Source organism: Homo sapiens, chromosome 13 (assembly GCF_000001405.40).
Source record: "Homo sapiens chromosome 13, GRCh38.p14 Primary Assembly".
NCBI lineage: Eukaryota > Metazoa > Chordata > Mammalia > Primates > Hominidae > Homo > Homo sapiens.
In genome coordinates, this window is record NC_000013.11 from 31,253,479 (window position 1) to 31,270,794 (window position 17,316).

A 17,316-nucleotide genomic window follows, 5' to 3' on the forward strand; every position below is an offset into this window, starting at 1 on the left:
GCTACTCGGGAGGCTGAGGCAGGAGAATGGCGTGAACCCGGCAGGTGGAGCTTGCAGCAGTTGTCTGAGATTGTGCCACTGCACTCCAGCCTGGGTGACAGAGTGAGACTCCATCTCAAAAAAAAAAAAAAAAAAAAAAAAAACTAGAGAAGCAAGAGCAAGCAAATTCAAAAGCTAACAGAAGGCAAGAAATAACTAAGATCAGAGCAGAACTGAAGGAGATAGAGATACAAAAAAACCCTTCAAAAAAAATCAATGAATCCAGGAGCTGGTTTTTTGAAAAGATCAACAAAATTGATAGACTGCTAGCCAGACTAATAAAGAAGAAAAGAGAGAAGAATCAAATAGATGCAATAAAAAATGATAAAGGGGATATCACCACCAATCCCACAGAAATACAAACTACTATCAGAGAATACTATAAACAACTCTATGCAAATAAACTAGAAAATCTAGAAAAAATGGATAAATTCCTGGACACATGCAAGACTAAACCAAGAAGAAGTCGAATCCCTGAATAGACCAATAGCAAGTTCTGTAATTGAGGCAGTAATTAATAGCCTACCAAACAAAAAAAGTCCGGGACCAGACAGATTCACAGCTGAATTCTACCAGAGTTACAAAGAGGAGCTGGTACCATTCCTTCTGAAACTACTCCAAACAATAGAAAAAGAGGGAATCCTCCCTAACTCATTTTATGAGGCCAGCATCATCCTGATACCAAAACCTGGCAGAGACACAACAATAAAAAGAGAAAATTTCAGGCCAATGTCCCTGATGAACATCAATGCGAAGATCCTCAATGCTGGCAAATCGAATCCGGCAGCACATCAAAAAACTTATCCACCACGATCAAGTTGGCTTCATCCCTGGGATGCAAGGCTGGCTCAACATATGCAAATCAATAAATGTAATCCATCACATATACAGAACCACATGATTATCTCAATAGATGCAGAAAAGGCCTTTGACAAAATTCAACAGCCCTTCATGCTAAAAACTCTCAATAAACTTGGCATTGATGGAACTATCTCAAAATAATAAGAACTATTTATGACAAACCCACAGCCAATATCATACTGAATGGGCAAAAACTGGAAGCATTCCCTTTGAAAACTGGCACAAGACAAGGATGCTCTTCCTCACCACTCTTATTCAACATGGTATTGGAAGTTCTGGCCAGGGCAATCAGGCAAGAGAAAGAAATAAAGGGCATTCAATTAGGAAAAGAGGAAGTCAAATTGTCTCTGTTTGCAGATGACACGATTGTATATTTAGAAAACCCCATAGTGGCCAGGTGCAGGGACTCACACCTGTAATCCCAGCACTTTGGGAGGCCGAGGTGGGTGGATCACAAGGTCAGGAGTTTGAGACCAGTAAAACCCCGTCTCTACTAAAAATACAAAAAATTAGCTGGGCATAGTGGTGGGTGCCCATAATCCCAGCTACTCGGGAGGCTGAGGCAGGAGAATCGCTTGAAGCCGGGAGGCGGAGGTTGCAGTGAGCTGAGATGGCGCCACTGCACTCCCGCCCAGGTGACAGTGCAAAGACGCTGTCTCAAAAAAAAAAAAAAAAAGAAAACCCCATCATCTCAAAAGCTCCTTAAGCTGATAAGCAACTTCAGCAAAGTCTCGGGATACAAAATCAAGTGCAGAAATCACAAGCGTTCCTATACACCAATAACAGACAGAGAGCCAAATCATGAATGAACTCCCATTCACAGTTGCTACAAAGAGAATAAAATACATAGGAATACAACTTACAAGGGATGTGAAGGGCCTCTTCAAGCAGAACTACAAACCACTGCTTAAGGAAATAAGAGAGGACACAAACAAATGGAAAAACATTCCATGCTCATGGATAGGAAGAATCAGTATTGTGAAAATGGCCATACTGACCAAGGTAATTTATAGATTCAGTGCTATCCTCATCAAGCTACCATTGACTTTCTTCACAGAATTGGAAAAAACTACTTTAAATTTCATGTGGAATAAAAAAAGAGTCCACATAGCCAAGACAATGCTAAGCAAAAAGAACAAAGCTGGAGGCATCATGCTACCTGACTTCAAACTATACTACAAGGCTACAGTAACAAAAACAGCATGGTACTGGTACCAAAACCAGATATATAGACCAATGGAACAGAACAGAGGCTTCAGAAGTAACACCACACATCTACAACCATCTGATCTTTGACAAACCTGATGAAAGCAATAGGGAAAGGATTCCCTATTTAATAAATGGTGTTTTGAAAACTGGCTGGGCATATGCAGAAGGCTGAAACTGGATCCCTTTCTTACACCTTATGAAAAAATTAAAATGGATTAAAGACTTAGATGTGAGACCTAAAACCATAAAAACCTCAGAAGAAAACCTAGGCAATACCATTCAGGACATAGGCATGGGCAAAGACTTCATGACGAAAACACCGAAAGCAATGGCAACAAAAGCCAAAATTGACAGATGGCATCTGATTAAACTAAAGAGCTTCTGCACAGCAAAAGAAACTATCATCAGACCAAACATGCAACCTACAGAATGGGAGAAAATTTTTGCAATCTATCCATCTGACAAAGGGCTAATATCTAGAATCTACAAAGAACTTAAACAAATTTACGAGAAAGAACGCCATCAAAAAGTAGGCAGAGGATGTGAACAGACAATTCTCAAGACATTTATGCAGCCAAAAACATATGAAAAAAAAGTTCATCATCACTGGTTATTAGAGAAATGCAAATCAAAATTACAATGAGGTACCATCTCATGCCAGTTAGAATGGCGATCATTAAAAAGGAAACAACAGATGCTGGAGAGGATGTGGAGAAGTGGGAATGCTTTTACACTGTTGGTGGGAGTGTAAATTAGTTCAACCATTGTGGAAGACAGTGTGGCGATTCCTCAAGGATCTAGAAATACGATTTGACCCAGCAATCCCATTACTGGGTATATACCCAAAGGATTATAAATCATTCTACTATAAAGATACATGCACACATATGTTTATTGTGGCACTGTTCACAATAGCAAAGACTTGGAACCAATCCAAATGCTCATCAGTGATAGACTGGATAAAGAAAATGTGGCACATATACACCATGGAATACTATGCAGCCATAAAAAAGGACGAGTTCATGTCCTTTGCAGGGCCATGGATGAAGCTGGAAGCCATCATTCTCAGCAAACTAACACAAGAACAGAAAACCAAACACCACATGTTCTCACTCATAAGTGGGAGTTAATCAATGAGAACACATGGACACAGGGAGGGGAACATCACACACCAGAGCCTTGTGGGCGGTGGGGGGCTTAGGGAGGGATAGCATTAGGAGAAATACCTAATGTAGATGACAGGTTGATGGGTGCAGCAAACCACCATGGCACATGTATATCTATGTAACAAAACTGTGCTTTCTGTACATGTACCCCAGAACTTAAAAAAAAAAAAGCAATAATTCTAAGATGCTAGTGGAACACTGAGTTATTCTTTTAAGGTTTTTCTTGATTATAATTGTCCTTTTAATGAAATCATTAATAAAGTCATTAAGAAAGATTGGGGAGTGGCTCTATGCATAGATTCTATAATAATTTTTTTAAAAGTAGTTTACAGTATAACCCACACAAAAATATTGAAAAACAATCATATACTATATAATAGCTGAATACTGCAATTAAGAGATAAAACATAACAACATGTTTTCCATAAAACTGTATTTGCAACCAGAGGTTTTAATCGTGAAAGGTTTTAATAGTGAAAGATTTGTAAGACAGTTTTCAAAATATACTGAGATGTTTATTTTCTTTATACAAGCTATATTGGCATGGTATGTAAAATACAGTGATTTTCATATTGGTTAAGGTTTAGTCACTTGATAAAGAGCTTTATTATAGATTTTTTTTTAAGGTGTTGTATTTTTCATCTCAAGCTGAGGTCATTTGTCTTGGTTGTTACAGGGTATTCTTCTTACCCAGTAATGATTTAATATACCCATAGGCAAAGTATCAAGAAGAAAGTCATCATATGGATCTGTGAATCTAAATACATTTTTAATGTTAGATGTAAAAGTTAACAGCTGTCACATATGTTCAGTTATGACCTGTTGCTGAATTGAGGAAAAGTAGGACTGTGGGAGGAATTTGCAATACAACCACAAGCAGAATAAGGCTCTTAAGAAATACCTAAGAGTACTCATGTATGGTGTCTTCTTGATTTTATATTCTGATAAATAATAGAGAGTGAGGTGGTCTTGGTTGGGTAAGAGAAAATATACAAAACTTTTAGAACTTAGGGTACTTGATTCATATTGTATGCTCTAGTTTCTTCAGTAGAGGCGAGTTGCTTTTTAAATCTTTCCTGGACTTGCTGCATTCATTTGACAAAAAGTTACTGTGCATCTATTACATGTTAGGTGTACTGGAGATATAGCAGTGAACAAAATGGACAACATCCCTGCCCACAAGGAGATGATGTTCTTGTTTCAGGGGAGATAAGCAATAGAGAAAAATGCAAATGTATAATGTGTCGGATGGTAACAAGTGCCGTGGAGAAGAACAAAGCAGAATAAGGGAGTAAGGGATGCATTGGGAATGGGCTTACCTGTCTATATAGGGTGTTCAAGGAATACCTCATTCATCAGGTCACATTTGAACAGAGTGAAGGAACTGAGGGAGTCAGCCATGTACTCTCTTATGTTAAGCTGCCTACTTCATACTGTTGCTTATCTAATAGGAACCTAAAACTCGACATGTTCAAAACTGAACTCTCAATGCCTTTCTAAACCTCTTCCGTCTTCAATCTTCCTCATCCAGAAATGCATCACTGTAACTGTCTATCTGGTTGCTCATATTAAAAACCTAAGACTTGAGATTGGTTCATCTTTTTTTCTTCAACTTCATGTTGGCATGACCAGCTGGTTCTACTTCCAAAATATATCTCCTGTCCATCTTCTCTCCATATTTAATACTACTACGCTGTTTCAGGCTATCATCATCTCCTGCCTTGACCATTATTAGATCCTCCTGTTTCAGTGGTTTCCCATTCCACCTAAGATATTTTTGCTGGGTATAGCATTCTGAGTTGGGAGCAATTTTCTTCCATTACTGTACAAATGCTCCACCATTGTCTTTCCCCTCTCATCATTTCTGTTGAAAACTCAACTGTATATCTTGTTTCTGTTTATTTGAAAAAAACATGTATACTGTCTCCCTCTATGACTTCCCCTGCTGCCAGCTGCTTTTAGGATATTCTCTATCTTTAATTTTCAACAGTGTTACCATTATGTGCCTATGTGTGATTTTCTTTGTATTTGTTCTCACCGGAGTTTATAGAGCTTCCTGAGTCTACAACTTGATGACTTTTGTTAGTTTTGGAAAATTCTAAGCCTGTATTCTTCAAGTATTCCTTCAGTTTCATTCTGTCTCTCCTTAGTTTCTAATGTCATGCATTTTAGCCCTTTTCCTTTTGTCTCATATTGCCATAGCTCTTTTCTTCCCTTTTTTTTCTTATATCAGTCTGGATATTTTTTACCGGACTTGCTTTCCAGACTGTTAGTCTTCTCTGCTATTGTGTTTAATATTTTTTTGAATTACTAACTTCAGTTCTTTCATTAAGTTTTAGATTTTTCATTTGGCTCTTGTTTATAAATTGTAGTTCTTTGGTGCAATTTAAAAAATCTTTTTATCCTTAAAGAACACATTAACCATAGCTGTTTAAAAGTCTTATTTGATAACTGCAAAATCTGTTTTATCTGTGCATCTCCTTCTATTTTTCACTTTTCTTGTTTCTGGTTTGGTCTTGTTTCTTGCTCTGCTGGGTGAGTTTGGCTAAATCTCAGATGTTTTATGTGAAAAATTAAGAAGGCTATGGATGATAGGACTTCCTATAGAAGGATTTAATCTTCTGGGTTGTAGATGTTGTTTGGGTACGTCTATTCATAGACTGCCCTTACTCCAGAGCCATTTTGTCCTGGCAGTCTGAACTCCAACCTTGATCTCCCGGCACTACAGTACTGCTAAAGGCTTTGCTCAGCTTTTTAGCCTCTCCACTGCTGCTTTCTGCTTGGTTCTTTTTTTCCCCCCTTGGTTTTTGTGCAGCTTAGGTCATTGAGGGAAACTTGCATGCGGCATCTTGGGACCCCCTTACATCTCTTCTCTTTCAAGGTCTCCAGCTCCAGACTCCGCCTTTCAGTCCAGCAAGGCTGCAAGAGCCCCCAGCTGCTGCTTTTGGCTGTGTGCTATCTGCAGCTCCAGGAATCAGCAAACTCCTTGAGGAAAGGAGGGGCTCCCATGGATGGGCTTTCTAATTCTGAGATCTTAGTCCTTTATGTCCTTTCTGCCTTTGTTGTTTTCTGTTTTTTTTTTAATTTTATTATTACTATACTTTAAGTTTTAGGGTACATGTGTACAACGTGCAGGTTTGTTTTCTGATGGCTTCAATCATTTGCTTTGTGTAATTTCTCCAGCTTTTAAACTTGTTCTCAACAGGAGAGTAGATGCAATCCAGATTGTTCTATTGTGGTCAGAAGTGGAAGTCTTTCGTTACACTTAGAATAAAGTCTGTGCTCCTTTCCCCTGGCACATAAAACTCACCCTGGTCAGCCTTTTGCCTGTCTCTTTTGTACCTTATTCCCACACCCAGTAGCTCCAGCCACTGGATTTCTTTTTTCATTGACTGTATCAAACTTTTTCCCACCTCAGGGACTTTGCATTAAGTCCTTTGACGGCTCTTCCTCAGATTTTTGCATAGAGCTGGCTCTTTGATATTATTTCATCTCAGTTTGCTACTGAGGATGAACAAAATGCTAGTCTTCATTAGATGACTAACAGATTTTTGCATAGGTCCAGCTCCTTGATATTATTTCATCTCAGTTTGTTACATCATAATAGATTTCCCTCTCTTTTCAGGGCAGCTCCTAGTCACCCTGATTTATTTTCATCCTAGCACATTTCAGTCACTACCTGAAGTTATTTGATTTACTTTCTTAATTTCCATTTCTCCACTCTAGGGTAAGCTATGTTCCTGCCTGGTGTGTGGTAGATTCTCAATAAAAATCATTTGAATGAATGAGTAAATAAATAAATAATCACTGATTCTGAAAGGAATTTTTCAAATTATTCTTTGAAAACCTCAGTAGGGTATAAGGGCATACTATTTTCTTTGCCCTAATAGTCTTTTTATATGGAATATTCTATAAAATACAACTTTTATACATTTATGGTATAATGAGGACTAACATTTTGTTCATCTTGATGATCAGATCTTGAACTACTTTTTTGTATACAAAGCTTATATTCATTATCATACTAGTGTTAATTATATTTTTGTTCACATTCTCTAGAAATATTTAATCTGTGCTAATAACTCTTTATCACCCAAAATATTTAATTATCTGAAACCAATAGTACCACCTTCTATTGGTCTTACATGAAATGATTGTTTTTAAAGTGACATGTTATATCTTTATTTAACAGGAATGGTTTTTGGGAAAAGCATTACATGATGAAGAAGCTACAATAATTCACCATTATGCCTTTTCCGAGAATCCTACAGTTTTTAAGTATCCAGACTTTGCTGCAGGCTGGGCCTTAAGTATTCCACTTGTAAACAAGTAAGAATTTATTGGAATTTTTTCGGGGGGCGGGAGGGGTGTGCATCAACTTTAATTTCATTGAGTACTGTAACTGATGGATCTCAGGATCTCAAATGAGTTTTTCAGCCAGAGGCAGTGTGTGGTAAGATCTGGAAAAGGAGCCAGATGCTTGAGGGTTTCTGCTTCAGCGCTGTCATTTACTAGACCCTTCAGACAAATCATTCAACCTCTCTGTATTTCTTCTCACTCATCCAAAGATAACAAGTTGTGAGACTAAGGGAGAACACAGAATTGCTCTGAGAACCATGCACATGGGAGCATCATTACTGTTGTTAAGGGATCTACTTAGCTATAGGTGTAACTTTGATCACCAGTAAGAAAATGAAGCAGTAACTTGCTGGGGTTGAGAGTTGATGACTCATTAGGTGCATGGGTATGCATACTTAAACACTGGCCAGTCAGGAGGGACAGCTAGTGGAAGGTACTATAGGTCGTCATACCTAGCTATTTGTGTGTATATTCACAATGGTGCTCTGTTAGATGTGGAAAGTGAAGATAGTTAAATTGTAATTCAGGAGAAGTATGGTTGTTGACAAGCCCTTCAGATTAATCATTATGTTTTTGTTCTTTAGGGAATGGAAAGTTGATAAAGCACTTGTGGCTTTTATATCTTCAGAGATGAAAGAGTTTCTATCATTAAGTGTCCTGTCTCTAGGATTTGGGGTCTTGAAAATCTTATTAGCCCATTGTAGATATACAGGATATTACATACCTTGTCATTCACAGCTGGACAAAACTTCTTGACTACTCCTTTCACATTTCAAAGTTCTCTACAGTGTGATACCCTCCTTTCCAGGGTAGAATCCAAACAACAACAACAAAACCCCCTGTGTTTCCTAGCTTTCCTTGCTACTAGGAAGCAGCCGTATGTTGTAGGTTCCATCAGGTAGATGTGTTATGTACAATTATTTTTGGGAACTGAATTGTGTGGGGAAGGAGACAAAGCATGGGGGACCATTTGAATTGAGACTCGTAGCAAAGGAAGAGTCGTTTGCAGTTGACAGCGGCTTCCTGATGATGGCAGAGTCTGAAGCTCCTACGCTGCTGATTTCTGTGGTACAAATCTGGGGGTTCTTGGAATCTCAGCTTACAGTCTGTTTACTCAGACTTTCCAGTAATTCCATGAGCCATCTATATGCTTTAATAAATGTACGTTATGCTTTAACTAGCCAGAGTGGATTATTTTTGTTTGTTTCCAGTTAAGATCTTCGACTCACGCACTCAGTCCTGGGCCTGCCGGGCAAGAATGCCCATCTCCCGGCCCCTGCCAAGCATGCCTAAGAGCATCTGCACAGTTTCCCTCCCTTCATTCTTAGAAGGGTCAAGGAGGAAGAGGAGTGAAGACAAGAAGAAGTAGTGGTCATTCCCTTCTCACCGTCTACTGGTCTGCTTAATTCTGTGCTCTGCAGGGGAGAGGGGAATATGTTCTGCCCTTCAGCAGCCTTGGGTCGTGTTTCTTCTCAAATTAAATACACTTTGGTTTGCTACAGCTTGAGGACCAGGAGCTCCCAGGACATTCATTTCCTGCAGTGTCCAGCAGCCTTATGTTTGGGGCCAGTTTAGCCACCTTTGTTGAGTCTGGACTCTTAATGAATAGAAGCTGTGACCTGCACTTTGTAGGCTGAGCCACTGTTCCTTTTCCCTTCCTCAAGTATTCTTCTCATCCTCGGCCACAGGAGGCTTCCTCTAGCCTTCCTCATTTGATCTCTACTTAGTTTTATAGTATAGAAAGATTTGGTCTGACTTCTCCATGGGAGAAGTCCCACGTGGCTGTGATTTTTCTGACTTGGGACTTATAACCTCTGTATAAGCCTGTTTCTCTCCCATTTCCCATGTGCTATGAAGTCCCTTGAGAGAGGAACAAACACAGCTCTTGCCTGCCCTGTAAAGTGCTGTTAAGTGCAGCAGGTTCTTCTTCCTCCAGGGCTAAAGAGGAAACCAGTGGGCCCAGGTAGAGCTATATGGCAAGCGGGGGTGTAATCATTTCCTTGAAGCCAGTGTAGCTCTTTTCTTCATCACTGCCTTCTGATCCAGGAGGCCTCTCATCCTGAAGGCAAATCCTTATAGTCTAGAGTTTTACCTTCCTTCTTCCCATCACAATTTCCTGTCTTCCTTTAGCAAGACTTTCTTGGAGACCTCTTGATGCTGAATTCAATTCCGTTTTTGTTGAATTAGGTGTTAGAAGTAACTATTTATTCTTGCTTCCTTTGACTTACTGTCTGAACCAGGTGCAGGTTGATGGAAGTGATCCTGTTTGAACACATTTTTGACTCCTGGCATCCCTATATAGGGCAGTTCAACCTAACTCTTATGGCTGACATGCTGGCATTAAGTATAACCTGTTCTAGGAAACCTCTGTCCTCTGCTTCACTGCTCATCAAGTGTAGCAGCACCCAGAGCACTGGCAGGCTTTGTTGGCTCTGGCTAGTGCTCACCTCATTACTGTCTCATGCTCACCACATGACTAGCTTCCAGGGGTTCATGAACCAGGGTTGCAGGTTGTGCACTAGCTGAGATGTTAGCTTTATTAAGGGGCGACTGTATGTTCTGGATTATCTGGCATTTTGCAAGGTAGTCCCACAGGAGACCACAGGTCCATGATTCCCTTCCCCATTGTGTTTGTGAGATCATTGAACACATCTGTTGACAAGGGAAGGTAGCCAGTGCCCAGCTTCCATAGCGGTTTCACATCTCCCTTTCTAGTCAAGTTTAACCATATTTAGGAGTGAGAACTGAGGGCCTTGTCACTGCAGCAGGGTGTGTAGGCATCTTAGTCTGTTTGGGCTGCTATAAAAAAATGCCATAAACCAGGTAGCTTATAAACGACAGCAGTTTATTTCTTATAGTTCTGGAGGCTGGAAGTCCAAGATAAGGCGCTGGCAGATTCAGTGTCTGGTGAGTGCCAGTTTTCTGGTTCCTTTCCTTCTTGCTGTGTCCCCTCATCTGGGAGAAGGGACGAGGGGTCTTTTTTATAGGGGTGCAGTCCCATTCATGAGAGTTCCCTCCCCATGGCCTCATCACCTCCCAAAGACCCTGCCTCCTAATAACATTGCCTTGAGGGGTAGGACTTCAGCCTATGAATTTGAGAGGGGACACAAACATTCAGACCATAGTAATAGGGAACTATGACTAAGGGAATTAAAGCCAAGAGGTTAATCTTTTCCACAAAGCTCAGGAAATTCCCAGCACTTCCCCGTGACTCCAGTATGATAGAGGAGTGAGGCACCAGATAGCCTTCTGCATGGTGTGTCATCTGCTCGTCACAACGCTCAACAGTGACCAACAAACCGTAGAATGTGTATAGTTCATTGATATCCATGGTCTTCTCCCTACCTCCTCTCCCTTTCCTCTGCCAGGAAAAAAAAGCAAAATAAATATGCAGACTCTACCATAATGCCATATTTAAAATTCTACTTACCTTAGATCATATTTCCTTTCCCCCGATGCCAACAAGTAATCAAGCAAATGATATAACCCATCTAGCATAGCAACTATCTTGTGGTCAAGATATATTTTAAAATGGCTTTCTAGTGGGGATTCTTATTTATTCTTCAAGAAACTGGTATTATACTCAGGACTAAAGGAAGGATAAAGTATTCATTAGCCCCATCAGCTGCAACATTGGATCTTCCTAGTTGTTGTTTTCCCAATTCAAAGCTAATGTGCTGACTTTATTTCTTCCTATTATTATTAGCTATATCAATTAGCATGCTTTTGGATGCAAGTAATAGGAAGCAACTCAAACTGGATTAAGGAAATACTTTTGCTGTAATTGGGGTGAGGTCTGTGGTTGGTTGATCTAGCAGTTTATCAATATCATTGAGGACCCACACTTTCTCTGTCCCTCTAGCCTATAGTACACAGAATCCATTTATCCTAAATCTGGTTCCTCTTGTGGTTTCAAGACAATAAGGGCTACATATTTCCTGTTTGCATCCAATAGTAGATAGCCTGTTCCCAACCATGAATGGTAAGTGCTTGTCCTCAGTCTGGTTGGGCCAACTGCATGTGTGTTCTAATCTCCAGACTATTAACAGTTGCGCAGGAATTTCATTGATTATTAGAATTATTAGAATTTTCAGTTCTAATCCCCAGAGTATTAACAGTTGCCAGGGAATTTCATTGATTATTCTGGCTGGCCCAGAGTAATCAATCTCTGACTCTGGAGCCTGTATAATTGTTGGGCTCAATATTAATCAAAACCAGAATTTGTTTAGAAAGAATGAAGGGGAAACTCTGTATTATATAGACAACCAAGAAGGCCAGTCCAGGAATGTTGATTCCCTTTGTGTCCTTTCCTTGACTTTACGGCCCACATTGTAGGTAGCGTAACAACTTACAGTTACTTAGGTGTTTCTTCTGTCCTAGTCCCCAGGACAACTGGTTACCTAAAGATAGCTCATGAGACACACTTTCTTAGACTGTTTCCAACCAAAATTTTATTTGGCCTAACAATTCCACATCAGTTTTGAGTTCACACTGCCTAATATTTCCTGGCAGTCCATCCATTTGATCAATTAAAACAATACTTTCATTTTTGGAGAAATTTTCATTAACTACCAATAAGATGATTTCTTCAAATATATGTCATTCCAGGACACTGTTTCTGGTTTTCTCCATTGTTTTTCCACCAGCAAACCTTATCGAGATTTCCTTCAGCAGGTGGCTCTGTTGACTGATTCACAAGTGGGACTGAAAAAGTTAGCCTGGAAGTGGGACTGAAAAAGTTAGCTAGGAAGTGGGACTGAAAAAGTCAGCTAGGAAGTAGAATTGAAAAAGTCAGCTAGGTATTGAGTTGAAAGGACCCTCAGTCATTTGCACATCTGTAGCCTAGGTGGTTGTGTCATTAGAACTGTGCTATTGGGGGCATGACTTAACTTCTTTTTTTTTTTTGAAACGGAGTCTCGCTCTGTCGCCCAGGCTGGAGTACAGTGGCGCAGTCTCGCTCACTGCAAGTTCCACCCCCGGGTTCACGCCATTCTCCTGCCTCAGCCTCCCGAGTAGCTGGGACTGCAGGTGCCCGCCACCACACCCGCCTAATATTTTTGTGTTTTTAGTAGAGACGGGGTTTCACCGTGTTAGCCAGGATGGCCTCGATCTCCTGACCTCATGTTTTGCCCGCCTTGGCCTCCCAACCTCGTGATCCGCCCACCTCAGCCTCCCAAAGTACTGGGATTACAGGCATGAGCCACCACACCCGGCCCAATAATTCTAAAAATTAGGAAAGCTAAGTACCAAACTTCGTGTTTTCCAGGAACTGAATATTTAATGAGGAAACATTTCATCTAAGTAACTGGAATTTCTGGCTTTCATTGGTTTTTTGGTATTGTTGGTTACTGAAACTAGCATTGGAAAAACCTGTTATCTTGCTTGGTGTATAGAAAACTGAAATCCAGTTACCACTATTAGGTATTGCCTTTTAAGTTAGTTGGTCACCCTGCACACTCTTAGAACTTGAACTTGTTTGCAAGGTGACTGGATGACTGACATAGGCCTGAGATGGCACGTGAGGCTAACTCTTCCACTAGAAGTCTGTGATATTGAGGTTGTGGTACACTCTGTGGGCTGCAAGAGATTGCCACTGAAAGATAGCCATGTATATATTCATTTGTCCTCTCATCAGTCCTTCTCTGTCTCAGAAATTCTTTTTTATTTTTATTTTTTGAGATGGAGTCTTGTTCTGTTGCCCAGGATGGAGTGCAGTGGCATGATCTTGGCTCACTGCAACCTCTACTTCCCGAGTTCAAGCAATTCTCCTGCCTCAGCCTCCTGAGTAGCTGGGATTACAGGCATGCACCACCATGCTTGACTAATTTTTGTATTTTTAGTAGAGACGGGGTTTCACCTTGTTGGCCAGGCTGGTCTTGAACTCCTGACCTCAGATGATCCCCACGCCTCAGCCTCCCAAAGTGCTGGGATTACAGGCATGAGCCACTCTCAGAAATTCTATCAGTGGTTTTCACTTTTTCCCCTTCTGAGGTTTCCCTCAAAGAAAAAGAATTTTCAAGGATTGAATGAGAAAGAAACTTGAAAAGCCAAAAAGATGGAGAGCATGTTTAAGGTAACAGTACTAAGGTGTTTACTGACTGTTATGAAGGGGCCTATGAAACATTGCCATCTAACAGTGGAGGTCACATGCCTCTTGTATTCTAATCACAACTTGGTGTTCCTTGCCTGTGGCAATAAGCCCGGGTATGACTTTTCTGTCTTTGGAGCCTGAATGAAATGAATACTTACTCTTTGTGGTCTGATTAGATTTTGAAGGCATGTGGCATGAGTCCAAATCCCAAAGTTACCTTGATGCAGTTTATTTATGAAAACATGCTCCAACTGAGCAGAATTCAAATTGAACAAGATCTCACTTGCCAGGGCAGACATTTTTTCTCTTAAGTATATATTTGGAGTGTATCTGAGGATATAGTCTCTCAGTCCACCCCACTTATACTCACAGATCTGTGGGCAAGTATTGAGTGGGAATGTGACAGATATTATATGGGGCTTCTTTTGGTGCTACCTGCTACCAAGCTGTGTTAGTATCAGCTGTGAGACAAATGCTTTGTAATGAAGCACATTTATCCTGTGTCTGCTTTCTGTCTTCTTCTAATCAGAAGTGAATTTTTATAGAAATCTTTCGTGGCCCAACCAGACAGATGTAATTAAAAACAGTAGAAAAAAATGGAAACTTACTAGTATTTTTCCTTTTTCTTTTAAAATTTTTGTTTCTTTCTTTTTTTTTTTTTCTTTTCGAGACAGGGTCTCTGTTGCTCAGGCTGGAGTGTGATCATAGTTGACTGCAGCCTTCAACTACTAGGCTCAAGCGATCCTCCCACCTCAGCCTTCTGAGTAGCTAGGATACAAGTGCACCATGCTTGACTAACTTAAAAATTTTTTTTTAATTTGTTTTAACTTTTATGTTAAACTATGTTGCCCAGGATGGGCTCTAACTCCTAGCCTCAAGCAGTCCTCCTGCCTTTGCCTCCCAAAGTGCTGGGATTATAGACATGAACTACTGTGCCTAGCCTACTCTTTTTAAAATCACTATTATTTCTTTGTAGTGAAACTATGTATTAGGAGGTTTGTAATTTAATAGTCTAGTCTTGAGCTCTATAAATAAATAAAAAACCATATGGTATTTTGGTGATTTGGGTAAGTATTCCTCCCTCGTTAGCTTTGAATCAAATAATATGTTGTCTAATTCATTCAGGGAGTTCACTGAGTGCTCACTGTGGTCAGGTGCGGTGGGCAGTGCTGGCAAGACAGAGGAGAAAGTATAGCACAGAGAGAGTTATGTATGCACCAGATTTTAATGAATGTGGTAAAGCTGATAGGTCCGTGCTTTGTACTCTGGTGGTCAAGGAAGTTTCCATTTACTCTGATGGGCAAACCTGGAAAAGTTTTACAGAGAAGATACCCATGAGTTTGGTGTTTACAAGTTTGCTCAGTAAAGGTTGGGTACAGGCACTCTAGGCAGATGTCCATTGGGAGAGAACAATGGGGAGGTGTGTGCTCTGGGTGTAGCAAGTGGGTGCTGTGATGCTAGAGATGGTCAGGGGAATGGTAGGGCCCTCAAGACTGGCTCAGGAGTTTGGGGCTTTATTCTGTATGGGAAAGGAGCCATTGAAAATGTTCAAACAAGACAGTGACTTGAAATAAAACAAAACCACATGCTTTTCCCCCATAAAACCCAGCAAGATTCATTAAAGTGAGAAACAAAAAGTGGCCATTGTCTTTCTCAAGCATAATTTATTTCCCTCTTTCTTTTTTCTTTCTCTGTCATTATTTAGTGTAAAGATGATAAGGAGTCAACAAAGCTTATGACTTTTTTCCCCAAGGCATTGTATTGTATTGTACGTTGTTTGGCAGATGTTGGAATAATGAATGCTACTTTTGCAACCAGGCTTGCATTCATTTATTGGTCAGCCAGCCGTTGGGTTTTCACAGTCCTTTCCCTCAAGGAATTTAAACTGTTATTTTTATCTTTAAATCTGTATGTTTATCTGTTTTCAAACACTAGAAAGTCTCAAGAATGTGTTAGTCTTGCTTGACACTTCTTTTGGTTAAAAAAAATCAAATTGTCTCTATTTTCTAGGCTTACCAAGAGACTAAAGAGTGAATCCTTGAAATCCGACTTTACAATAGATTTAAAACATGAGGTATGTCATGTTTTGTTTGATTAAAAATCTTACTAATCAAGAATTCATGTCCTTTGATGTAAAAGGTATTTTGCATTCCCTAATCTTGCATTTTCCCCACCCACATCTACTCCCCACAGAGATAATTTCATAGCACTCCAGCGAATTAGGTGCTTTTATTTTAAGCTCATTTCAGTTATGTAGATGAAGACAGAACAGTGAAAAAGGTTGCATCTTGTGATTCATGATTCTTTACTTTTAAGCTAGATGAATGGGTCCAGAGGTAGATTTCTAAAAAAATGCAAAAATGTCATTAAAAGTACCTCTGCTCTTACTTGATGCTTCGGTTGTACGTATGCCAGTGTAGATTGAATGATCATGTCCCCGCCCCCCTAATTCATACCTTGAAACCTGAGCCCCAGTGAAATGGTCTTTGGAGGTAGACCTGTGGGAGGTGATAGGGGCATGAGAGTGGAGCCCTCATCAATGGGATTAGCACTTTTATAAAAGAGGCCGCAGGGGGCTTCCTTGCCCTTTCTGCCATGTGAGGATACAGCTAGAAGGTGCCATCCATGAACCAGGAAGCAGGCCCTCACCACTTAATCTGCCAGTCCCTTGATCTTAGACTTCCCAGCCCCTAGAACTGTGAGAAATAAATTTGTTATTTAGACTCCACTCAGTCTATGGTATTTTACTGTTGGAGCCTGAACAGACTAAGACGTATGCCTTTGTTGTGTGTCTGTGCTTGGCTGTCTGGAGCAGAATTGAGCCTATTGGTCCCAAGCAGGCAGCCTGGAGCCCTAACACTCCTGGTTCCTTCACATTTACTGGACATCTGTGACCAGTTATTCTAGAGGCAGGTGGCAGTTGTCCCATCATTAATTATTCTCGAATCATCATTAAGAAGGCCCTTTTTGCATTTCACTTGTGGGCATGCCTGACTGCACAAAACAGTCTTGCCTCTCATTCTCTGCAGGAATCTGTATGTTAGGACATTAAGGTAAATCTTGACATGTAATTCAGTCCAGCAGTGCTGATGGCCTTCCAGGGACAAGAAGGCACACACAAGACTTTCTGACTTCTCAGCTGTCTTTAAATGGTAATACAGAATATTTGAGTAGAAATAAACTTAGAAAAACATAATTCTTCTCTTCCACAAAGATGAAAAAAATGGCTTGTTGAAAACCAAGTTCTGCCTAGATAGGATTAATGAAAAGTCAGCTCTAGATACTTAGGTTTGGAAATCTACTAAACATTGAATATATACAAAATAATATTTCTAACATATATGAAAGGTATAAAGATTAATGAACAAAATACTTAACTAGCTTGCCTGGTTTAAGAAGGAGACAACTATGAGTGACCTTGAGGCTACCTATGTGCTTCTTGAGGAGAGGCCTCCTTCCGTCTCCCCACACTAAACTCTCTTGAATTCTCTCCCTCTCCCTTACTTTTCTTCATATTTTATTACGTATGAATGTATTTCTGAATAACATGTAATTTTGCATCCTTTTGGGCTTTATATAAACAAAATTGTA

General features: G+C 40.1%; 1 protein-coding gene across 6 annotated transcripts in view; it reads left to right on the forward strand.

Moving 5' to 3' along the window:
- The window catches only part of B3GLCT (beta 3-glucosyltransferase), a 132,302-nt gene that overhangs the window by 53,504 nt on the left and 61,482 nt on the right, over positions 1-17,316 (forward strand). For all 6 annotated transcript variants that reach the window (NM_194318.4, XM_011534936.2, XM_047430111.1 and 3 more), the window contains 2 exons: positions 7,468-7,604; positions 15,736-15,799. In NM_194318.4, the coding sequence (NP_919299.3) occupies positions 7,468-7,604; positions 15,736-15,799 (201 nt within the window). The remainder of the gene's footprint in view (positions 1-7,467; positions 7,605-15,735; positions 15,800-17,316) is intronic.